This window comes from Homo sapiens, chromosome 10, assembly GCF_000001405.40.
Source record: "Homo sapiens chromosome 10, GRCh38.p14 Primary Assembly".
In the NCBI taxonomy this organism is placed as follows: domain Eukaryota; kingdom Metazoa; phylum Chordata; class Mammalia; order Primates; family Hominidae; genus Homo; species Homo sapiens.
In genome coordinates, this window is record NC_000010.11 from 2589660 (window position 1) to 2615705 (window position 26046).

The window sequence follows — 26046 nt, forward strand, 5'->3', positions numbered from 1 at the left end:
TGAATGGGAATTCTAAAGATTCTTTAGGTTGAGATGGAACATTCTAAGGTATGAAAACAGATTTATACAGCTTACTCTGACTTTTGTTTATCTCTCATATTTTTTTAACATCAGTCAACAAGAAAACTACATTTGGGGATTCCCTGCCTGTTGTTTTTCCAGCTGCACACCAGGAAGATGTTCAGTTTGTACACACATATCATAGTCAAGCAGTGAGCTGATAGAACCTCAATAGTGCCTGGAGCAAATGAACAAATGAAAAATGCAAATTTTAGAACAATCAGAACTTTTATGGTTCATGTTCTCCAGAAATGTAACATAAGTTATATAGGTAGTAAGTGAAAGCAATGAATAAAGACATTTTAATACCTAACACAAAAACCTAACATAGATTTTGTCTTAAAATCTCAGTGTTTGCCCATCAAATTTTAGATTGTTACAACATCTCTGAAAACTACTGTAGATTAGTGTTTGGGGGAAACCCATTCCCCTGCAAGTTCTTGTTCACCCCATATTTACAGTGTTTATATGAAGAACTAATAATCTTATTGCTGAGCCCTTTGAATCCAACAAATATTTGTTTAAATAACAGAAAAACTGGCAAGTTAATGTGTGCCAGCTCTCCACTACCTGCAATTAGTACAGAAATAAAGCAGAAACCTCCCATCCTCTCAGGGAATTCTGTATCTTGTTGGAGAGAGGAACACTGAAGAAACAAATTACAATACAGAATGCATGCCTTCAGGTGGAAGTCTAAATTCCTAAGGAGGTGGGCAAACCTTTCTGGATCTGACCCTCGTATGCCTCTTCAGGACCATCTCCCAATTCCTAAGGAGGCAGGCAAACCTTTCTGAATCTGACCCTTGCATGCCTCTTCAGGACCATCTCCCAATTCCTAATGAGGCAGGCAAATCTTTCCAGATCTGACCCTCGTATGCCTCTTCAGGACCATCTCCCAATTCCTAAGGAGGCGGGCAAGTCTTTCTGAATCTGACCCTCGTATACCTCTTCAGAACCATCTCCCAATTCCTAAGGAGGTGGGAAAATCTTTCCGGATCTGACCCTTGCATGCCTCTTCAGGACCATCTGCCAATTCCTAAGGAGATGGGAAAAGCTTTCTGAATCTGACACTCACATGCCACTTCAGAACCATCTCCCACCTCCAGAACTCACTGCAAGATATTCTTCCTTTCACTGGAGGATTTTCCATGTCCGATGCTTCCTTCTTTACCTTTCCAACCTCTACTCATCCTTCAACACTCAGCATAAAGTCACCTTTTATGGGAGGCTGTCCCTCACCAGTTACTTCACCTCACCCATCTCAAGACCCAGTCGTGGAGATCATGGAACAGGTGACAGAATCTCCTTCCAATGAAACAATCCTGGAAGAAACGTGATTCGGCAACAGTTTGTTATTTCAGGGCCCATACACGTAAAGCTTCATTACGCTTATCAAAGAAACCCAAACATGGTGAGGACCTGAGACAGTAAACATTCCCCAAAATCACTAAAAGAGGAAAGGGAATCAGATCACAGATGAAACTACACAAAACCCGTGCATTGAATGTGCCATAAAATGTAATCCCTGGTGACGTTTCTGGAGCACTGAAAGCCAAGGTACGCCCCTGCAGAAGGTGGAGCACCTGCCCCCATCAGGGCACAACTTCTCCTTAGGGGACCCTGCTCAGGGTGAAGCAAGGGTCATGTGAGAAGCCATCGCCTCTGATCTGGTTTGGCTGTGTCCCCACCCAAATCTCATCTTGAATTGTAGCTCACATAATCCCCATGTGTTGGGGGAGGAACCCTGTGGGAGGTAATTGAATTATGGGGGTGGGCCTTTACTGTGCTGTTCTCTTGATAATGAGCGAGTCTCACGAGATCTGATGGTTTTATAAAAGGCAGTTCCCCTGCACACACTCTCTTGCCTGCTGCCATGGAAGACCTTCCTTTGCTCCTCCTTCACCTTTCACCTTGATTGTGAGGCTTCCCCAGCCATGTGGAACTGAGTCCATTAAACCTCTTCTTTATATATGACTCAGTCTCAGGTATGTCTTAGCAGTGTGAGAACGGACTAATATAATCTCCACTCACTTCTTGAGGGAAGGGTATGTGCCAGACTGTCACTCTGCTGGGTCACAGGACCTGACTTCACACCGTGACTCTTTGATCTTCCCACCCTGACAGGGTGCATCATAGACTCCAGCAGCCAAACCCAGTGACCAGAGAGTGCTGAGTCAGGTAGGAAGGTGCACTGCAGGGACAGAGGAAAGGAGAATGTGGCCTGGACCTCACCAGCCCAGCGCATGAAGCACTGTGTTGGAAACTGTCAGCAGGCTAACATGATTGTGTTTCTACTTTCATCTGAAGTGTGACAATTCTCCCGCATTGTTCCCATGATAGAGGTTTCTCGCCTGGCCAAAGAATGTCCTAGACATGGTTCTGGACTCTCTGAGGCCTGGGTGGGCCTCCTTTCTGGTCTGCTGAGCCTCGCAAGGACACACTGGGTGTCTGATGCATCGCATAGCTGTAACGGTGGACACTCTCACCATCCGAGGGGAGTGCGGCAGGAGACCTGGGCACTTCGGGGCGCAGCCTTGGCTTTTAACGCTTGCTTGCAGGAGCATTTTTTTTGTATTTTTCCAGCCTGTGAATGTCTTCTATATGCATTCTATTTCCACCTTAATGCTCTGTGTGTATAACTAAAGATGGGTGGTATTAGTTCAATTTTCTTTTCTTAAAAAAATGTTTTCAAGTACAGTTCCCATAAATTTAAGTGCTAAAGGCTTTAAAGCACAGTTTTCATACAGTTAAGTGCTAAAGCCTTCCCTATCCTCCCACATCACATGACTGTCTCTTACATCCAACAGACACAGAAGCAAAAGATGAGCAAGGCATTGTTCAAAGCCAGTCATCTGGGAGTGCTTCAATACCGGTGAAAATATAACTAAAACCCGCCATCACTGGTACACTTTTAGAACATTATACCCACAGGACTCACTTATCTCAAAATTACAGTCTGTATTTCCTTAACATGATGGGAGATCACAGAAAATAATTGGTCAAACTGTATTATCAAAATACCATGCTAAAGATAACCTCCCATCCAAAAGGTAATTAAGACCTAAATCTAAGTATATTCAATTACCTCTCCACACGGCTTCTGTAATTCTGGGAATTCTGCCCTAAGAATGAGCTAAAGTTCAGCTTGGGTTTTCTCTAGAGCACTGATACGGAGAGAGGTAGGCAGCAGTTAATATGTCTGCCCTCCCTTTCTTCCAGATCCTGCTTCTGTAGGTTGCAGCAAGCTCTGCATTGCTCCTAGTTTAGGAAGAAGGATGAGAGCCAGGCCCACATCTAGACAGGCAGATTTATAAAGGCAGCCACATTCAGTTCCCTGCTCAGTTGATGGCTGTGTTAAGCAGAAAACACTGACAGTGTCTACATCTTTAATGGGGAGAGCTAATGATAAAGAAAGACTGCAGGCATTTGGGGATTATGTTTGTTGGAAGGGACAGCTAGATTGTTCTGTGATTCTTAAATCATAACAAAATTGATGAGGGCTGACACTCCTAAGAGTTGGCAGGATGGAGCTAAAAGTTGGAAAATCTAAATCTCATTTTCAATGCTGCTTCTGCTGTTTGTGCTTTCAAATCTATAACCATCAAATGAGAGAATAATAACTACTGTTCTTTAAAGAAGTCCTGTAAAAAAAAAAAAAAAAAAAAAAGAAATGTGACGATTGAGCCAAACACTTCTTACACTGAAATTTCAACCAGGATCTTAGGTTAAGAAGAGAGACAGCAGAAATTCCTTTTAAAAATGCAAACATGTTCCTGTGAAAGAGATATCAGATAAATGTGATTCATCATTAATAAACAATGAGGACTAATATGAGATTAACTCACTTTAAACCTCATGGTGTAAAAACACAGAGATGATCAGTCAGCTTGCTTTTGCAGCTGTTTGTTTTTCTGATTAGAAAGGTAATTCATATTCACTGTAGGAAATACACGAAGTACGGAAAGTACAAACAACAGCATCACTATTTGTTAGCTTCTTGCCGGACTTTTTGCTGCGTCCATGTAACCTTATGTTTTTAACAAAACTGCATCCTGACCTCATCTCCAGTTTTGAAGTAACGTGTCATTACACATGTGGATATCCAGTATTTCCCCAGATCATGGCTGATATTTCCAGGCAACAGAGACTCACCGACAGTGTTTCATTCTCCGGTAAAGATAGACAGAGTTCAGGAGGAGAACTCTGCAAAATCGTGGAAGAATAATCATTGTCATGCAAAAACATATCCTGAGCTTCTTCAGATGAAGAAAGAGAGAGATGACATCTTTTACTCTGTTTTTACTCCTGATCTCCATTGTGAAGGCTCAACCTCTGAACGGTAACTCTTCCCTCCAAGAAATCCACCTTCTTCCCCAATCCTGGGTTCTATTGTCTCAGCACAGGAGCACAGCCAGCAAAGACACAAATGACCAGAGGACAGCAATAGGCAGTGCTGTGCCTTGCATTTTCCATGTGAATTTCCTGCCTCATATGCCTACACTGTGACTTTCCTGCCAGGGCACCTCTTCCACCCCTTTTTTTTTTTTTTTTTTTTTTGACGGAGTCTTGCTCTGTAGCCCAGGCTGGAGTGCAGTGGCGCGATCTCTGCTCACTGCAAGCTCCGCCTCCCTGGTTCACGCCATTCTCCTGCCTCAGCCTCCCGAGTAGCTGGGATTACAGGCGCCCATCACCATGCCCGGCTAATTTTTTGTATTTTTAGTAGAGACGGGGTTTCACCATGTTAGCCAGGATGGTCTCGATCTCCTGACCTCGTGATCTGCCTGCCTTGGCCTCCCAAAGTGCTGGGATTAGAGGCCTGAGCCACCGAGGGTGGCCCTCTTCCACCTCTTTGGGCCAACGCTCAGGGGCCCTGTGGACTCTGACTTTCCAGCCACACTTTATGTTTATCCAAAATGCTCCATGGTCATATTTGAGGAAACTTTGGCTTCTTTAACAGAAAAGGTTCCATGTGGGGGCAGCAGAAGTGAAGGACGGATCTCTTGGAGGAGAAGAAAGACTGAACCTCCAGCCTCAGCACGCTCTGGTCTTGGGCCTCCCCGTTGTCCGTGGGTTCAGACCAGCACCACTCCACAGCTTTCCATGGAGCAGAATTCGCTGAGAGCCTGGGGAATGGTAAAGGCAGCTACGGCCAGGAGCCTCTGGGCTGGCTGGCAGATGTGGCTGCTCTCTGCTCCTCGTGGGCACAGGCCATCTTCATGGGATCCCAACAAGTGCCCACCATGGCACCAGCCAGCTTTTCCTCACTTTCCTGACAACCACCACACAAAACGAATCCTCTGAGCCCAGCCAAAGGAACAAGGCTGCCCACAACCAGCCTCAGACACAGTGGAAGTCTGGCTGTGATGGGACAAGGGACAGAGATGCTGAGGAGGCTCTGCCCTGAGACCCAGGAGCTTGAGGCCACCTGCGGCCAAGGCTGTGTCAGGAGAGCAGGGACAGCTCCTGCATGGGCCAGTGCACACACAGCTCAGGAGTGGGTGCAGACAGACCCCATGGTGGGCAGCACAGCCACCACAGTGAGCTGAAGGCAGAAGAGGAAGCATGAGAATAACCTTTCCACATCCCAGGCTCAAGGATGAGCACGAGGTGAGAGCCACTCACACACAGGGGGAGTAACAGGACTGCCCTGCAAGGATGAAGTGCCTGCAACAGTAAAACCCAACCCCGCTCCCGCTCAATGCCTCATGTGGTTTGACTGTGTCCCCACCCAAATCTCATCATGAATTGTAGCTCCTATAATTCCCACATATTGTGAGAGGGACCCGGTGGGAGATAATTGAATCATGGCGGCAGTTTCCCGCATACTCTTCTCGTGGTAGTGACTAAGTCTCACCAGATCTGCTGGTTTTATAAGGGGAATCCCCTTTCACTTGGTCTCATTCTCCCTCTTGCCTGTCGCCATGTAAGACGTGACTTTCGGCCAGGTGTGGTGGCTCACACCTGTAATCCCAGCACTTTGGGAGGCCAAGGCAGACAGATTGCATGAGGTCAGGAATTCGAGATCAGCCTTGCCAACATGGTGAAACCCCATCTCTACTAAAAATACAAAAGATTAGCCATGCGTGGTGGTGCACGCCTATAATCCCAGCTACTCGGGAGGCTGAGGCATGATAATTGCTTGGATCTGGAAGGAGGAGGTTGCAGTCAGCTGAGATCGCACCGCTGCACTCCAGCCTGGGTGACAGAGCGAGACTCAGTCTCAAAAAAGAAAAAGAAGGAGTTCCTTTTGCCTTCCGCCATGATTGTGAGGCCTCCCCAGCCACATGGAACCGCGAGTATATTCAACTTCTTTTTCTTTATAAATTACCCAGTCTCAGGTATTTACTCTGACCTGAGGGCTTGGTAGGAAACCTCTGGGCCCAGCAACTTGAACAGCAGTGTGAAAATGGACTAATACAATGCCCATTGGATTGGCACAGCCCTGCCTCCCACTAAAGGCCTGATAGGAAGCGGGGCTCGCTCTTCTAGGCCCAAAGGCTATTTTCCACAGTTTTTACTGTTCTTTCATACACAATGTCCAGAATTCAATTAAATATCAAGCGATCTTCCCACACACAGAAAGAATAAAAGCTGCTAATTTTTAAGATAAAAATCAATCAGGAGACACATATGTAGGAATGGCCCAGATGCTAGAACTATGAAATCAGAACTGTAAAACCGAGGGTTAATATGTCAGAGATCCAATGGAAACAGTGTTGCATAAACATATGGGGACTGTCAACATAGTTATAGAAATTATTTTCAAAAGGGGCATGCAAATGAATTATTGGAATAGACAAGCACTATTTCAGAAATGATAAATTTCCTTGACAAGCTGAAATCAATACTCATTTTAAAGTCATGCATACAGGGTTACTTCATTTTCAACAATAAGACCAAGATGAATCTGTAGGAAGGGGATAAACTTTCCAACAAATGTTTCTGGAGAAAGTGAACATCCACATACCAGAAAGACAAACTGGCCCCTTGCCCTGCATCCATGAGAAACCAGCAGCTACCATCGTCCCTAACGGGGAAGGACCGAATGCTTTCCCCTGAAAGACGGAGAAAACGCACATTCCTGCTCTCACGGTTTCTATTCAACATCGTACAGGTGCTTTTAGTCAACGTAATAAGACTAAAATTAAAAATAGGAATATAGATTTAAAATGTTTTAAAATTGTTCTTATTTGCAGAACACATGATCACCCATATAAAAATCTCGATGAATATAAATAATCACTGGATACAAGGCCAATGTTTAGAAATAATGTACTCCTATATGTTAGCAAAGAATCAGTGGAAATTAAAATGTAAAGAATAACACTTATAATAATTTAAAAACATAAAATATTGAGGGTCGTTTCTAAGAAAATATTTGTGGATTCGCATTTGGAAAACCATAAAGTATTTATGAAAGTACTTTTAAAAGACCTAAATTAATAGATTAACCATTCATTAATTGAGAAAATTCACGTTATTAACAATTCAGTTCTCCCTGAGTTGATCCGTAAACCCAAGGCAATTCCAATAAAAATCCTAAAAGAATTTTTTTTGGCAGAAATTAACAAATTGATTTTGAAATATTTCTTTTGTAAAAGTAAAATGCTTAAAATAGTCACTTCTTATTGTTTTTCATTTTACTGATTTCTAGTTATCTACTTACAGTTTGAAAGACATGATCTTGAATTTGACTAGCATTTCTGGTTTTCTATTGTTGGTGTGGGTGAGAGCTGAGTCAGTGCCCAATAATCACTGTGGTTTTATTTAAAACATGTCTCAGATGATACTTTGAAATAACATCTGTTTCTATCTTTCACAAAGCTTACATAATTCTTCAGTGTCCATTAAATAAATTACAGAGTCATTATTCTTCTATTTGAAGTCGTCTGTACACAGGCTCAACCTCACAAGCTTGTATTTTGAGACTACTTGCTATTCATCTCTATTCCACTGAAAATGATTTTTGATCCAGGATTTACCACACTTTGTCTTTCTCCTGTATTACCTTCTATCTTGAATACACTGATTTGCACTTCCATTTACCTCAACTCCAGCCATCCTTCAAAGCCCAGCTCAATTTTAAACTTTCTCCAAAAGCTCTCTAATATCAAGTCAGATTTAGTGTGCATGTCCCCAGTATTCCCCTAGCGTTTCTGAAGACAGTCCTCAGTTCCGTACCCCTCACAGTGGTGCATCTCTGTTCAGTAAATACTTGCTGAACTGAATTGCACAGTATCCTGGGATGAACCTGCTCAGGAAAAGATTGAACAGAGCATGAAGAACAGCTAAAATGAACACTACGACAGGCCTTCTTTAGTGTGAGAAGCTAGATTCCAAACACGTAACAACAGCTGAAAGAGACACATGAAATAGGGATTATTTGCATTCGAATTAACTAAGATTGTTTAATTCAGGACATAATCTCTGAACACAAATAAAAGGAGAAGAAAAAAATTCCTTTATTGACTTGAGAACGTATGTCAAAGTTGCTTTTTAAGAGCTATTTTTAAAAGTTGATGAAAAAAGCATTGTATCAAACAGTAAGTTTCAATTTTGAATTGTAGAATGCTTTTAATCTAAAAAAAATAGTTTTTAGTGGCATAAAATAAATTATTGGGAAATGCTATATTTGTGTGGTAGAGGAACTATTTTAATATAAGCATACTCTTTATTTCATTGGTGATAAAGCATATTGTCTTTTTAAATATTATCAGCATATATATGTTTTTCCCATTCAAAGGTAGGAAGAAATTGTCATTATTTAACGGAAAATAGCATCTAGAAGCCATTTCTGTATTATCTATATTTGAAGCTGCAATTCTACGTAAATCATCTTCAATTCTAAAATACAAATGTTTGTCTAATTTAGCTTCTATGTGTGTTTTCACGTTGAAGTTCCTCCTACCCATCACTGGTTCTTCGAGAACAATGATTTAAAGGAATTCAGAATAATCACAAGAGGAATTGCTCTTTCAAATCTGAACTGGAGATCTGCAGCTCAGATTACACTGAGAAATAATAGCACCAGCCACATTTTTATGTATGTCGATCTATTTTCATGACTTCTAGGTAAAACATGACATGGCAGCCCACAGTGGTCCATGAAGACTTGGCTCCATGGAGCCAAAATCAGGACCTTCCTAGAGACCATGGTCAGCATGGGGACAGGGGCTTTCCCAGGGAGCCTACACAATTGATAGCTGAGTATTTACATGAGCTGTCTTATCTCGTAGGTTCTCAGAGAAGGCACAAAAATTGGGTTATTTAGGGTTATTTGATGCTCTTTAACTATCTTTTAAGCAATAGATTGCTGCCTCATTTTAATAAAGGTCGAAATAAAAGAAGAGATGATTTTCACAGAATAAGATTTTCAGATTTAAAAGTATGACATTGAAAATATAGTGTAAAAACAAAATTACATGTCAAAAGGAGCCCAGTTGCACATCAGATCTTCTTTGAATCTTCTTTCAGCCTTCCCTAGATCAGCTTCCCTATTTCCCACTAGAGAAATGCCCTTCTCTAGAGAAATCCCTTTCTCTAGTGTGACATTTATTTTTATTTCATTTTAATTGTATTGATAGGAAATCTGAGGAGAAAACACTTTTTTTGACTATGGTATCTCCATGTAAATCATGACTACAGGTAAAATCAGCTGACTTTGGTTTGCAGCCAAGATGGAGCAGCCCCACTCCTGTTGGGCCCTCCATACACACAGGACAAGCACCAGCACAGCACACATGCGGGCCCCTGAAGGGTGGAAGCAGGAGGCACCCGGGGGTCTTGGGGCTGAGGAACCAGCTGCAATGGGTCCCTGGGCTTCTGGGGGCTTCTCACGTATCCTGGACAAGGTGCTTCAGAAGCCTCCACCCAGAACTTTCAACAGGCATGGACCAAAAGAGCTTCAAGGACAGCCTGCTCCCAGGCAGGTCACGGGGAAAAGGACCACCTCCCGAAGGAAGGCAATGCCCAGCCCGCTTCAGCCAGACTGCAACAGAGCAACAACCCGACTCCGTGTCAAGGGTGCCCAGCAGGGAGCGGGCCTCCCAGCCATCCCTGCTTGCTACAGCAGGTAGTGGCAGCACAGTCACACCTGGGGGGTGGGCAAGGCAGGGAGCTCTGAGTCCCTACCAAGGTGGGTATAGCAGCAGGTTGCAGATGGGTCCAGCGAACTCCGAACATCCACACCCCTAGGCAGGGCTGGTTGCACTTGACTGTACCACCCCGATCACAGCAGGGTACAGTGAGGGGCTGAGCCTCCACCCACTCGAGGCAACCATGTCTCTGCCCACATTCCCTGGGAAGGAGTCAACCCGGCTGAGGGAGGCTGAGTTTCATGCCTGGCAAGGAGATGCTAGGAGTCAAGGCCCACCATGGGAGGGAGGTGTCAGGGCCCCAGTGGGAAGCTACACACACTCGCCCAACAGGACCTGCCCCTGCACCTCCAGAGAGCAGCACCTGCCAAAACAGAAGATGTGTCTACTTAACATACACTAAAAGATAGAAAATCTCAGCAAAACATAAAAATTATAACCAGAAAAACCCACGATGAAATCATATAGAACTGAAAGTTACATTAACCAAAATTAAAAGGAAAAAAGCAAACAAAAAAACCTAAAAAGCAGAAAATTGCCTCACTAGATGGTCTCGCTAGTAGAGCAGAGACGACAAAGATGGAATCAGCGACTCTGAGGACACATTGAGATAAGTTATCAAATAAGCTGCATGGCAGAGAAAGGAGAACAACGACCACAAAAATGAACAGTATCTAGGACCTTTGTGTCAATTTAAAGAAAAGTAACAGGATAGCTAACATTTATATAATGGGAATTTCTGACAGAAAAGGAGACTAAAAAGTATTAGAAAAAAATAATGCCTGAAGCCATCTCCAATTTGGAGAAACATATACTCCTGCAATTCAAGAGGCTAAGTGAACCCCAGGGGGGATAAACCCCCAGATCCCGTGATAAACACATCATAATTAAACTTCTGAAAACCAAAAACAAAAAAAGGGAAATAAAAATTGAAAGCAGCCACAGAAATAGGACATTTTCCTTGAAGAGACCACAACTTCAAATGACAATGGATTTTGATCTCCAATCAGAACAAACTGGTGGGAGAGGGTGTAACATGCTGGAGATAGTCTGAGTGATTTTTATGGCGGCCTTATCAACATCCGGATATACTATAAAACCTGTTTAAGGCATTTTTGGCAGAAAGATGACATGGAAAGACATCTCCCAATATAAAAATACAGCAATAAGATAAGATATCTAGGAATGGTGGCGTCTATTTTTCTCTCTGGGGTACTGCCCCATTTTGCTCTGTTATAACTGACCGAAAATGACCCCTAGGACTTACCTCATTTGAGATGCCTCCACCTAATCCCCAGAGAATTTCACTGTGCTGACTTCTGATCATCTCTACACATGGCTACAGCCAGACATGATGCCATATTTGTGTACAGTTTCTCCTCGTCCTGTGCACTCCTCTTTGCTTTTCAGAGTTTGCCATTTTTCCAAAAGATGACATTGTCTTCGGCTAAGAAAATCATTTACTCTTTTTATTAGCATTTATTTTATTTTATTTTATTTATTTATTGTTATTTATTTATTTTTGAGAGACAGAGTCTTTCCCTGTCACCCAGACTGGAGTGCAATGGTGCAATCTCGGCTCACTGCAACCTCCACCTGCCGAGTTCAAGCGATTCTCCTGCCTCAGCCTCCTGAGTAGCTGGGGTTACAGATGCACGCCACCATGCCCAGCTAATTTTTTTGTATTTTTCGTAGTGATGGGGTTTCACTATGTTGGCCAGGCTGGTTTCAAACTCCTGACCTCAGGTAATCCACCTGCCTCAGCCTCCCAAAGTGCTGGGATTACAGGCGTGAGCCACGGCGCCCAGCATTAGCATTTATTGTTACTTATATGTGCATCTTCTATTTACGAGATTATGTTAAAGATTGAAAATGTGTATAGACTACCCTGGATAATTTTTAGAATTTCACAAGAATACACTTAAGGAGAGTAAAATACTAAAATTCCAGGCAGCACCAGTTCAGAATACATATTTAACTCTTGTGCCAGTCACATGAAGTGTGGTCCATCCAGAAGGTATTTGATAAACCCTTTTGAATACATTTAGAACATGGTAAAGCTTTCTCTCCATCACAGGTTCATGCTGGTTGGTTCAAAAGCCAGGGGGAAGTATTATTTATTTCATGATGCCTTCAAAGATGACAGAGTAATAAAGAGAGTAGCGAAATGTTTTAAAATATAAAAGTGAGGGAAATTTTGAATTATTTAACTTCAGTTAGGGAAGAAAATTGATGAGGTGACGATGGAAATTCTGAAAGTTAGGTAACCAGATGTTACCTTTTTGCTATTGTGTTTCCTTCCTTCCTTCCTTCCTTCCTTCCCTCCTTCCTTCCTTCCTTCCCTCCTTCCTTCCTTCCCTCCTTCCTTCCTTCCCTCCTTCCTTCCTTCCTTCCCTCCTTCCTTCCTTCCCTGCTTCCTTCCTTCCTTCCTTTCCTCCTTCCCTTCCTCCTTCCTTCCTTCCTTCCCTCCTTCCTTCCTTCCCTCCCTCCCTCTCTCTTTCTCTTTCTTTCCTTTCTTTCTTTCTTTCTTTCTTTCTTTCTTTCTTTCTTTCTTTCTTTCTTTCTTTCTTTCTTCCTTCTTTCTTTCTATGTGAGAGTGGTTTCAACAGAATAAAGTAAAATTTAATTGGCATAATATCATATTCTTGCTTAAATATTCCCACTCATTAGAAGAAAAGTAATCAGTATTCAGATATGAGTGAAAAAAATTGAACCTATGGTAGCAGAGAAAGTAGTAAATGGCATATGTGTTGGGAGGTGAGACAAGGGTGTGAAATTATAAAGAGCTCCAACCTTTCAAAATCGGTGATTAAGAAACCATCATCTGCTGAACCAGGAGCTCCTACCCTCCCACTCACTTATCTCACACCCAAGACGACAGTGAAGATCAATTTCCATCTCTCTGCTGCCCACATGTTTCAGAGGTTGCCCTTCCATAAGGTAACAAACTTTGGTAAAGCTACCAGCTTTCTACAACTTGGAATTACTGTTGATTATTTGAAGAATTGACATTGTACAGGAAGAAGGCTTATCCAGCTATGTAAGGAATGTCATTGCCATTTAGATAGGTCATCCAGAGGTAGAAATTAGACATGACTCAAACAAAGGAAAAAAGTCTGTGCAAAACCAAGAAGGAAAGACAGAGGCAAACTCCTGGGATAATGGTAGACAAACCAAAATGATGACAGGCCAGAAATTAAGGAAATTAAAGTGGTACATTATCAACTTAGTTTTGAAGATAGTAATATATATATATTATATATACATATTATATATATAACATAGAATTTAAAATAGCTTTAAACCAGTTGTGCATCATGTGAGAAAACATACCTACTGTAGGTGTGTAATTTATTATTAATTATATGTAGCTTGATTTGAAAACATACAGTCACAGTAACAGGATAATCACCTAAAGCAGTTCTTTATGTACGGTAAATAGAGGGTTCCTGGAATACGAAGATGTTTGAAGAGTAACTGGTTTTATTTGTTGTTTAAAGAAAAAAGAAGGAATGCATGAGAGATAATTTCCTACACTTGAAGAATAAAGTAAAGTCATTACAGCTATTCAGTGCTTCCAAACATTCAGAGCTATCTCTGTAGCAGAATTCTCACTTTCTCATTAACTTCTTTGTAATGGAATTTTCACGTTCTCCTATTAACTGGCTATTAGTAAGATCCAGTATAACAGTCCATAGCTGAATTAAACTATATATAGCTTAATAATTCAGATGAATATGACCTACACAGGTGAAATTAATAATCTACATTTTAATAAAAATATACACACTTTAGAAAATAAATATATGAACAACAATTTTAATGACAGTTACCAAGTCTGATGTCCATCATGCCTTTTATGTGATGCTATTTAAAACATGTCTTCAATAAATTTGCAGCTAGTTTTTTCAGCAGTTGAATCACTTATAGGAAGGAAAAAAAACCCTCTATCTGAACAAAGCTTCCCAGGTACACTAGCAATTTCTGTAAAACCTTTTGTTTACTATTTATTATAATGTTCAATAAGAAAATGACCTGTACATAAAAAAAGATGTAATATTTACATAAACCATGAGCTAAATTAAATTTAACAATTACTTTTATTGTAAGGCTTGCGCTCATCACTGTGGTGGGTAGCAGCATCAGTGAAAAACAGCCTGTAGGCTTCATAATTCCTTTTAAAGAAATGTTTCTGCATGCAAAAATATTTTGGAAACCACAAATCTCATTAAACTCTGAGTTTTATTCATAATAAGAATAAATCAGGCTCAGAAAAGTGAAGTGAGGTGCCCCAGGCCCTGACCTACTCGGAGCAGAGTCAGTCAGACAGGGTGCATGGTCCCCATCTTGGTGCGGGCACCCCAAGTCCAGGTGCTGGGAGGTTTCTCTTCATGGTTCCACGTCTACACTCATTGCCTGGAAAGTCGGGGTGATGAAGGAACTGTCTCCTTATTGTTGTTTCTGGACAGCCAAGATCATTAAAAAAAAAAAAAAAAACATGGAACAGATTGTACCAACAGGTTGTCATGTTTTATTTTTGTTATCGTGCTAAAAAATATAATAATATAGAAAAAATGCTATGAAGGCAACAGAACAGCACCTCATTCCCTTTGCTGTTGTGCTGGGGCAAACACTTCAAGTGTTTCTGACTCTGTTTCTCCAGAATTTTCTCCCAACAGTAAATAATGAACACATACCACTATAGATAGATAGATAGATAATAAATAGATAGATAGATATCTTGCTATAAAATATAAGAATTAAATTCAGTTATGTTATTTTTGAGCCCTTTTTCCTCAATTTGATTTGGCTTAGTTGGTTTTTTTTGATTACCTTTTTTTCTGCCAATTATGATTTTGTCCCCATATTGTCAAACACATTATTTATATACATTTTCATATTAATTTTGCATTGTTTTATTGATAACAAATATAATACATTTTAGTTTTATCTTTTAAGTCTAAACGATTAAAAATGTAAGAGTGCATGACAGTATGGTAATTACATGAGTATCGTTCAGCGCAGGGTCTAGTTCCATGCTGGGACCATTACTCCTTTGTCCATGAATTCTTTGTCAAGAACCCTGCAAACTCCAGGGTAAATGTTCCCAGCATTTGAAAATCCATCATTTTCTCAAAACCGTGCCCACTTAGTCCCTGTTCACATAAACTAAATTTCTCTTGAGATGTTTTTTCCTTTATATTGTAATCATAAAGTTTCTGTAGCATTTGTTGAACTTGGAAAAGGGACTGTTTGATTGATGACATCACCAATATTTTTCCACTTCTGTTTTATTGAGTCAATTCCATCGGCTTCTCCGTAGGTACCTGGCTCACTCCTCTGGTCCATCACATGTCAGAGGCACAACTGTCATCCAGGGGCTTCATTTTCCTGGTGTTTTCATAGTTTCTACTGATTTTTATTTATTTATTTATTTATTTATTTTTGTTTGTTTATTGAGGGAGCACTAAATAATTTCTTCCAAAGTATTACATCAAAGAAAAATTGTCTTGAAATATCTCACTGACTGATGGCATGGCTTGGAATAGACTACAAGGTCTGCAATTTTAGAACATTTGATAGACAGCACAGGTGACAATATTAACATACAGATCTCTCAGTGTATTAGTCTGTTCTCACGCTGCTAATAAAGAAATACCTGAGACTGGGTAATTTATAATGGAAAGAGGTTTAATTGACTCACAGTTCCAGAGGACTGGAGAGGCCTCTGGAAACTTACAGTCATGGTAGAAGTGGAAGCAAACATGTCCTTCTTCACATGGCAGCAGCAAGGAGACGTGCAGATTGAAGAGGGGGAGGCCCCTTATAAAACCATCAAATCTCATGAGAACTCACTCACTACCACCAGAACAGCATGGAAATAACTGCACCCTGATTCAATTACCTTCCACTGAGTCCCTCCCATAACATGTGGGGATTATAGGAACTACAATTCCAGATGAGATTTGGGTGGGGACACAGCCAAACCATATTATTCAGTATAGTTTTAAAATTAAAATAATCAAAAATCAACTTCCATTTGGGGGCAAAGCTCTCCCCCAAAATATCTGGGTTTTATGGAGGTGGGAGGTGTTATCTTCATGCTTACAAGCATGACATCTCACCAACAAAGCAGCACCCTGCAGGTGACTTCTCTCTGGCTCTGCCCCACAATGTGTTGTCTACACCTGAGGCCTCCACCCCCTTGAAACCAGGTGAGTTTCCTCTATCAGCCCCTGAGACCACACCAGAGCCTGCCCTCTTCTCAAGAACACAGAAGGGCTGCCACTCATGAACTGAAGCCTTCAGCCACCCAAGGCTTGCTGGGATCACTGAAGCTTTAAAAGCTTTGGAACCTGCTATAGTTTGGATGTTTGTCCCCTAAACCTCATGTTGAAATTGTGTCCCCAAGGTTGAAGTTGGGGCCTAGTGGGAGATGTTCAGGTTATGGGGGTGGATCCCTCTTGAATGGCTTGGTGCCATCCTGGCCGTGATGAGAGAGTTCTTGCTCTATTGGTTCCCCTGAGAGCTCATTGATTAAAAAGAGCCTGGTGCCTTCCCCACCATCTCAGCTCCTCTCTGGCCACATGATCTCTGTACATGCAGCTCCCCTCTTCCTTCCACCATGGTTGGAAGCTTCCTGAGGCCCTCACCAGAAGCAGATGCTGGCGCCATGCTTCCTGTACAGCCTGCAGAACTGTGAGCCAAATAAACCTCTTTTCTTTATAAATTACCCAGCCTCAGGTATTCCTTTAAAGCAATACAAAACAAAATTACACTCATTTCCCACTAATGCCTGGAGAATTCTGCCCTCATAGCTACTTTGTACGGTGCCAAGTGGGTCTCAAAGCACCACTGTTCTGCATTTACAGGGCTCTCTAGGACCTTTAATGAAGCCATCCTTTCATGTTGTGAAGACAGCCTGTCTCTATGTAGGATCCAGTATTTGTCAAGAGCTGGGTTTGAGGATGAATCTGAGGGAAGACACAATGCGCACAAATCCAGTGCCCATTCTCTCAGAAGACTGGCTCATGATCTTCAAACCATTCTACATTGCAATCTCTTTCTCATGCTTTCTGAAGAGTGTTTTCCTAGAAGAGCCTTCCATTCTTTATGCAGATAAATTCCTGGAGACACATCCATATAGGTCTACGTGTTACAGAGACCCCACAAACAATGAGGTGTTATGCATGCCTGCAGAGTGAAAAGGTTGGAGTTAATATATATAGGGTGATATTTTATTTAAAGGACTGAATAGAAAATATTGAATATTGATTGTTTCCTTTAAGACAAAACTTTAAAACTTGAGTCATGATTAAATTTGAAATAATGTATCTATTTCAAAGAAAAATATATTTAGGAAATTTAATGTTATTAAGTAAATATATTATTATTCAGTCAGAACTAACACATTAGTAACAGATGAGAAATGCACATTGAGATTAAAAATTATTTACACATTTAAAAACGTAGATCCCAGAGAAGGTAGGAGATAATCAGCACACCTTTTTTTTTATGCTTTTTCTTCAACGGGTACTTCCCAGCAGTGGGTCAATTTCAAGAAATTCAAAAAGTATAGTGGCAAACTTCCAAAACACAAAATAATATTTCAAATAAGCAACACAGTAATCTAATTATTATAAAGACTTATCACACTCTCAATTATTATTTGAAGGTTAGTCCAAACACTTTTTTATCACCTGAGGTCAGGAGGTCAAGACCAGCCTGGTCAACATGGCAAAACCCCATCTCTACTAAAAATACAAAAATTAACCTGGCATGGTGGCATGCACCTGTAATCCCAGCTACTCAGGAGGCTGAGGCAGGAGAATCACTTGAACATGGGAGACGGAGGTTACAGTGAGCCGAGAGTTGCTCCAGCCTGGACAATAGAGCGAGATTCCGTCTCAAAAAAAAAATTATGTTTACCAAATGCCTACCACTAATTCAAATTCTATGAGTGCAAAGCATAAAGAAATGTGAGATTCCCCTGCCTTCGGGGAGCATCTACTTATAATGAGATAGTGTAGTTACTCTTCATGCTTGAAAGACCATGCATTTGCTGTAATCAAGATCCTAATCAACTCCGCAAAGGGCACTCACTAGCTCCTTGCTCCTAGCAGTAAATTCGGTGGTCAGCTTGTTTCTGAGTTCCGTTCTTCTGATCCTATTAATGGAGACATCACAAAGGTGAAAATCTGCTTAGAAGCCGATTTAGCCTCCACTGATTCACCTCTGAAAATGTGGAGATGCTTTTTACTGTAAACATTAAGATTATCCACTGACCTTAATTGACAAATTACTCCAAATAGTGAGTGATCAATAATGACTGTACGATAACATACGATGTACTAAAACGTGTCACTTAAACTTTCAGAATTATAAAACAGGACTATCCTGTCATTTTCAAACAAATATTTTCTGAGTCCCTGACAGGTATTAGGCTGTCAGGGACAGCCTGAAAGAAAATAAGAAGTGTGTTTTAATCTTCATATGGTTACAATCTAGTCAAAATTGAGATGCCTGTATAATTACTAGAAAAGACAGTAGAGGAGAATTAGCTGGTTACTGTAGGATGTGACAAACTCAGAAATTCTTATTTTCATTGGACTACATCATACCATGGTATTATTTTAGTTTTTCATAATGAGATAGAAATTGCAAGAAACCAAATTACAGAGGTTGAAGAGTTTCTTGCACTTGCAGATCCAATGCCAATGGAAATCCAGATATTTGTAACTAACCTTCCAGTGGGAAGGTGGTGACATGTCATAGCCACAGCTTACCCCCTGCCACGTGTAGCATCAGCCCCACACAGCCCAAGGCTGCACACTCAGATGTCAACTTCCCATTCCCAAGCTTCAGCTGGGAGGGGCAGAATGAGCTGAACTTATAAATAAACATGGATTTATGTAGAATTCCTGGAAGTAAAGAAAAAAAATACTCACCTACAAGGAATAACATTCTGTTGTCCATTCTAACCCCATTTCTTTCTTTTTTTTTTTTTTTTTTTTTTTTTTGAGATGGAGTCTCGCTCTGTCGCCCAGGCTGGAGTGCAGTGGCGCGATCTCAGCTCAGTGCAAGCTCCGCCTCCCAGGTTCACGCCATTCTCCTACCTCAGCCTCCCGAATAGCTGGGACTACAGGCGCCCACCACCACGCTGGGTTAATTTTTTTGTATTTTTAGTAGAGACGGGGTTTCATTCTGTTAGCCAGGATGGTCTCGATCTCCTGACCTCGTGATCAACCCGCCTTGGCCTCACAAAGTCCTGGGATTACAGGCGTGAGCCACCAAGCCCGGCCAAAAACCCGTTTCTAGAGACACTTCAGGGAGACTCCCTGTTCTCTACAGCAGCAATTGTTGCTAAACTAAACCAATAGCTACACATACTTAAAAGGTAGAGCAGTTAAACCCATCCATGTATTTTAGTATTAAAGCAATAAACAAGGCTCCTTTGACCAGCAAAAAACTTAAGACACACTGACAAACGAAGTGAAGAATAAAAGCAGTCAGGAGTGAAGAAGTTGTGGCGAACAAAAAAGGTATTCCCCTGTGTGAGCATTCAACACATTTAAATCAAGTTCTAAGGTGAAAAAGGGCAAAATTATACCCATAGAAAGAAAACCATGTTACAGAACTTGACGAATTAAAAATAGTATATTTCTGACTTTTGAAGTTCTGTTACATGTCTACAGCCACGGCCCATGCCGCTACTCAGGAGTATGTCCCTAGTCAGCAACTTGTGTTTTAAAATCAATTTTGCCTGCTTTTCCTCAGCAGCTCCTCCTACTAGACCAATAGAAACAGGAATACGATGAGGAGAACCACAGTAATTGTTGGAACCTGTTTGGTTAAGGACCTCGGCTCTGTGAGCTCACAGCAGGTCGTGAGCCATGTCTGCCAGCTCCACACTCTTATTTGATTGTTGCCTGTGTTTTGAAATTTGGAGATGAATGGCATTGAACCCTCAGTGCTCCATTCTTTGATTCTATTGGTTCTAAAATTTATGTCACGTTCATTCCCTTAGGGATTGGTTGGGATGAAGAGAAGGGAAGAGAATTCTGTGATTCAATTTCTCTGTTTCCTTGCACTTCAAAGTAGAATATATAGCGTATAATTTTAAAAATCAATAAATGATATAAAAAATTACCTGTATGCCTTAAATTCACTAAAGGAAAGAAAAGCAAACACAATCTGTCTCATTAGCAGCAAATGGAAAACAATACAAACAGCAAGAAAACACCAAAAAACCTTAAATGATATAAATGCTTCCAACAGAAGAAAAATTAGAGATTAACTCAACAAACAAAACCAAACTCTATGCTATCTCAATATGGCACATTGAAAGCAAGGACAAAGTTGACAAATTAGACTAATGTGATGAACACTAACTGTATTATGTGAATGAAGTAAAAAAAAAGATGAAAGAACAAAAGAAGGAAAAATATTTCTTTCCACTTAATCATGAACAAACAAAATTGGAAACAAAAGGATTAAGCAGAAAAAAGAGAGTCGTGCGGCAGCATGCGCTATATAACCCACAGATAAAGAAAGGACATGAGTGAATTTTCCACACTGATACCTTGGGTGGCACGGATACAAAATATGCAAGATAAAAGAGGAGCAATTGACAGAAAAAGGAATCAGAAAAAAATAGTTTTGCTAGATTAAAAAAAAAAAAGAACTTTCAGCAAGGGAAGGATTTAAGCATTCAAAGGAAAACAAGCACTCCAAACAAAAACAAGAATAGAATATCAAAACACAACAATGAGTTTGGAATACTAGTTATCAGAGCAAACCCAACACAAAGTGAACTCACCTGTCATGATAGGGTTTGTGAACTATTTACTAAAATAAATTCTCATAAAACCAGAAAGGAAAAATAACATTGCTCCTGGAATGGCCCAGACAACAAAAGAAATTAACCAAAGAAATTAACAAAAGACAATTGTAAGTAAAACAACAAGAAAACACTTATGTCAGCCCCTTTTTGTTATGGTCCCCTCGTCTCTAAAATGGAATAACCTTGAAGGAACCTTAAACCGAATTCCTCACCTTTCTCTGAGCTGAAGATGAGGAATCCCTGGACTGTGTCCTGAGCACAGACACGTGGCTCCTCCCAGACAAAGTTTTGCTGTAGTCTACCTGATCTGGCTCTAGTCTAGCTATTTTAGAGACTGGAGAAAATCTGATACAAACTAATGAAAAGACGTTAATGCTGGCAGATGGCTCCAGAGTACTCGGAGCTGTTCTAATACCTGTTTTACAGAAGTAATCTGCTCTGCCGTTATCCTCAGCCATTGTGAGCTGATAATGAGCCGGGAGAGCAGAACAAGGCCTGCGCAGGGCTGCCACTTCTGATTTCATTAGTCTTTCACTGCAGGCAAAATGAAGGCACTAAGTGGTAAGTTAATTGTTTCTTTGCTGCTGTACCTCCCTTGGGTGCATTATGTCATTGTTAACACTGATATATTAAGATAGGCACTTTATGGTGGTTGCCAGCAACACAACACTAATGCATTTTTATTTCTCCCAACTGCAAAAATAAGTTCAGCTCATTTCCCTGAGCTTCATATTGTGTTGAGGACTCTTCTTCACTGAAAATAGTAACCCTTCCATCTGAGAGAAAGGATTGCTTATATCATAATTTCTATAAGATCTCACTGAAAACTGCGTAGACTTAGGGTTTACTTGTGTTATTAGAATAAAAGGAACTCTGGCTTATAGGAGGGTGGCATGAGGAGCCTGTGGACCTGTTTCCAGCGAAACAATTATCACTAGTGAAAATTATTTTAAAAATAGTAAAAATAAAGTTTTTTGAATTGTAGTAAATGAGGAAGCATTTATTCGAGAAAATATACGAAGACTCAGTAAGAACAGCAGGAGTCTATTCTACTTGGGCCATGATTGCTCCCCAGCCGTCCCTCCCTCACTCAGCTGGGCAGTGCTTCACTCGCAGTGGCTGGGACCAATGAGATAAGGATCTTCTTTTGCTCAGATCCCAGTTAAGGGCTACAGTATCCCACCAAAAAGGGCATGCCACCAGCATGTCTCACCTACTCAACCCCTGAGTTTCAGAGTCTAAATTACTGGTGCTCATGGCTGAGAGGCTGGCAGTTCCCTTCCTCTACCTAGCCCCCAGTAGAGGGTGGAGGCTGTACTCCAGGCACAGCAGGCAAAAATCTGGGGTCCTGATAGCCCTTGATCCAGCACTTGCAGGAAAGATTTTCTATGCCAGGAAAACAAGGGAAGAGAGCCAGAATCCACTCCCCTCCACGGAACCAGAGTCTGCTCCCCGTCTCCCACAAAAGTGGCTCAGAAGAGGGGAGGCAATCCATAAGAACAGGAAGCACTAGTGTTCTCCCTACAGCAACTGACTTGATTTGAAAAAATCTGGGGAAGTTCCAGCCTAAGGGTAGTCTTAAAAACAAAGAATATTTTGGTGTAAAACAATTAAGTGGATAACTACAGCAAATAAAAGCAATAAAGTATGCATATGATGCCTAGTTTATCAGAGATAACTAATATAACTATTAAGAACTAGTAAAAAAAAAATACTGTCCTCAAAACTACCTTTGCCTGACAGTAACATCAACAGTGTAGTAGATGTGAAGTCCCAGCTCTTATTCCCCTTTGAAAACATCAAAATACAGCAACAAGAGAATGACCAAACTAATACACAGGAGCTCTGGAAAGCAGCCTAGGGTTTAGAGCAGCCAGGTGAATCCTAATCAAGAAAAAGCCATCATCAAAATTCTAGGAAGAATGTCGGAGCATTTTACTTATTCTTGCCTCACCCTCTACCTGGTGCAGAGTCATCTTGGTCTATGGGATGTGGAAAAATAGTCTTATTTCCCACAGTCTAAGCTGTCTAGGGGCTACCTGAAGAATGGATCTTGGTATAGCCTAACTCAAATCCTAGTTAGGAAAAGTAGTGAGTGCTACTGTGGAAGCTGCCATGAGATTAACATTTCTGGGGCAAGAGATAACTGCTGGATATAAACAGCAGAACACTCAAGGCTTAAGGAAACACTGGGTGAAACTCTTTAACGAAAAAAAAGACATTCAAAAGCAGCCACATGTACGGGAGAATTGAGAAAGCCACACACACAGGCCAAGGAAAGATACATGTTCCAAAAAAGTCCTGAAAAGACTTCAAGCTTTTTCCTTCAGCAGATCCCCAGGATCAGAGCAAATCCAGCTAATTGGAGAAGTGCCGGCCAATGACAAAGTTAGTGTGCAAAATGTAGAAAGGGCTTTTGTTTTTCACGTGCCCATTCTCCAACAACAATAACAACCACTAAATTCCAAAGCGTAGAGAAAAAACAGGAAAAACAATCAGCTTTCAGAGAAAAAAAGTAAGTTGACAGAAATCATCCCTCAGGAAACTCAAATATCAGTCTTACTCAAAAAGTACTTAAAATAAAACTCTTAAATATAACCAAAGAGCTAAAGAAAAATACAGACAAAAAAAAATCAAAGATATCAGAAAGACAATAAATAGACACAATGAGGATATCAAATAAGAGACATAAATTATTTTTTAAAGGTATGAAACAAAAATACTGGAGCTACAAAATGGAATAATTGCAATGAAATATTTATTAGAAGGGATCCATAGCAGATTTGAACAGGCAGAATAAAGAGCCAACACACTTGAAGGTAGGCCACTTACAACTAGCAAGTCAGAGAAGCAAAAACAAAAAAGAATGAAGAGAAAGAAATGAAGCCTAAGGGACTTTTGGGGCATGACCAAGTGGTTCAATATACACATTATGGGGCTCCTGCAAGGAGGACAGAGAGATTATTTGAAAAAGTAATGTTAGAAAACTTCCCAAATCTGATGAAAAGCATTAATCTATACATCCAAGAAGATCAGTGAACTCCAAGTATAATAAATGAAAGAAATCACAACCAGCCACAATATTTAAAAACTGCTGAAAGGCAAAGACAAAGAGAAAAATTTGAAAGCAGCAAGAAAATAAAACAACAAGAAACCTCCAAGGAGATTAGGAATTGTCTTCTCATTAGAAACAATGAAGGCCAGAAGGCAGTAGGATGACGCATTCACTGTGGTGGAAACAAAAAACAAAAACAATCAAATAAACAAAAAACTAGAATCTATATCCAGCAAAACTACCATTTAAAAAATAAGGTAAAATAAATGCATTCCAAGATAAGCAAAAACTGAAAGAATTTGTTGCTCGTTGACCATTCTTACAATAAATATTTTAAAATTTTTTAGGTTAAAAATAAGTGATTCAAAATAGGCATTTGAATTCACATTTAAAATAAAACTAAGAGAACTGGTATAAGTAGCTATGTAATTTCAAAGACTGTATAAGCACATTTTGTCTCTTAACTGATAGAAAATCAGTTATATAAAACAATATGCATATAATTGTATTGCTGAGCCTATCACAAAGAGAAATGCAATGTATTTGACACTAACAGCATAAAGATAGTGTGTGGGAGCACAGATGTCTTCTAATAGAAGGAAATGACACCAGATGATATCCATAGTCCACTAAAACAAATGCCAAGAACCAGAAAGAGAAAATAAGAAGGTTAATGTAATAAATTCTATTAATATATATTTGCTCACCTTCATTTTCACAGTATTTTTAGTAGAGACAGGGTTTCACCATGTTGGCCAGGCTGGTCTCAAACTCCTGAACTCTGGTGATCTGCCCGCCTCAGCCTTCCAAAGTGCTAGAATTACAGGCATGAGCCACAGTGCCTGACTTATATTGGGTAATATTCTAAATAATAATGAAGAAGACAATGCATTCTCATAAACATTTAGGATCTGAACTGTCCAGTAGAGTAGCCAGTAGCTACCTGTGGATGTTTAAATTTAAATTTTATTGAATTGATATTGGATAAAAGGTGAAAATGTGTCTCCTCAGTTGTGCTCGCTGCATTTCAATTGTGCATTAACCACATGCAGCTATGGGAGGCTGTTCTGAAGGTCACAGGTACAGAACGTTCCCATGGGTGCAGAAGTTTCCATAGGAGAGTGTTGTTCTGGGGCTTTTGGTTCATTTTTAAAATGGAAAAGATTACATCATATTCAGTTTACATTAGCACTTAAAACCAATGCCAAGGAACTGTGGCATCCGAGAAGTTTTCAAAGCATACTTCATAGTTTATAGAACTAAATTAGAGTTAGAATATATTTATATACATCGGCAACTGTCTACTGGGGTGCTGGTGCTGGGTATCTCAGTCTGTCCGGGTTGCCATAACAAAACACCATGGACTGGGTGGCTTAAACAACAGACATTTATAGCTTATGGTTCTGGAGGCTGGAAGTCCAAGATCAAGATGCCTGCAGATTTGGCGTAAGGTGAGGGTTCACTTCCTGGTTCACAGATGGAAGTTCTCACTTCACCCTTACGTGGGGAAAGAGGTGAGGCAACTCTCTGGAGCCCCTTTTATTACAGTATTAATCTTATTCATGAAAGCTCCACCCTCAGGACCTTCTCACCTCTCAAAGGCCCCACCTTGGAAAACCACTACTTTGGGGTTAGGATGTCAACATAGAAATTTAGAGGGACACACACATTTCAGACCATAGCATATGGCAACAGGAATAGAACTACATCAGTGCAGCACAGATCTCTGTGCTTGGCCTTTTGCCTGTTGAATAATTCAAAAATATCTTCATGGCAGGGGAAACACAAATGCTGACCTCAAGGAGAAGCTGAAGCCAAGAGTATTAATCACAGTGGTGAAGATAAGAAAGATGACCCCAAGTAAGAAAGCCCAGAAAGGCACTTGCTGTTGACTCCCTCAGAAAGAACACCACGAAAGACCATGGATCATGTAAAGTAAGAATGAGACTTACTGCTATAAGGGAAACGAACGTCTTAACAGAGTCTTAGTAGTA

At 40.6% G+C, this 26046-nt stretch overlaps 1 long non-coding RNA gene across 4 annotated transcripts in view; it reads left to right on the forward strand.

Moving 5' to 3' along the window:
* Positions 1-26046, forward strand: part of LOC105376350 (uncharacterized) — a 116889-nt gene that overhangs the window by 87807 nt on the left and 3036 nt on the right. For all 4 annotated transcript variants that reach the window (NR_188171.1, NR_188172.1, NR_188173.1 and 1 more), the window contains one exon: positions 25830-25987. This is a non-coding gene — a long non-coding RNA (uncharacterized LOC105376350). The remainder of the gene's footprint in view (positions 1-25829; positions 25988-26046) is intronic.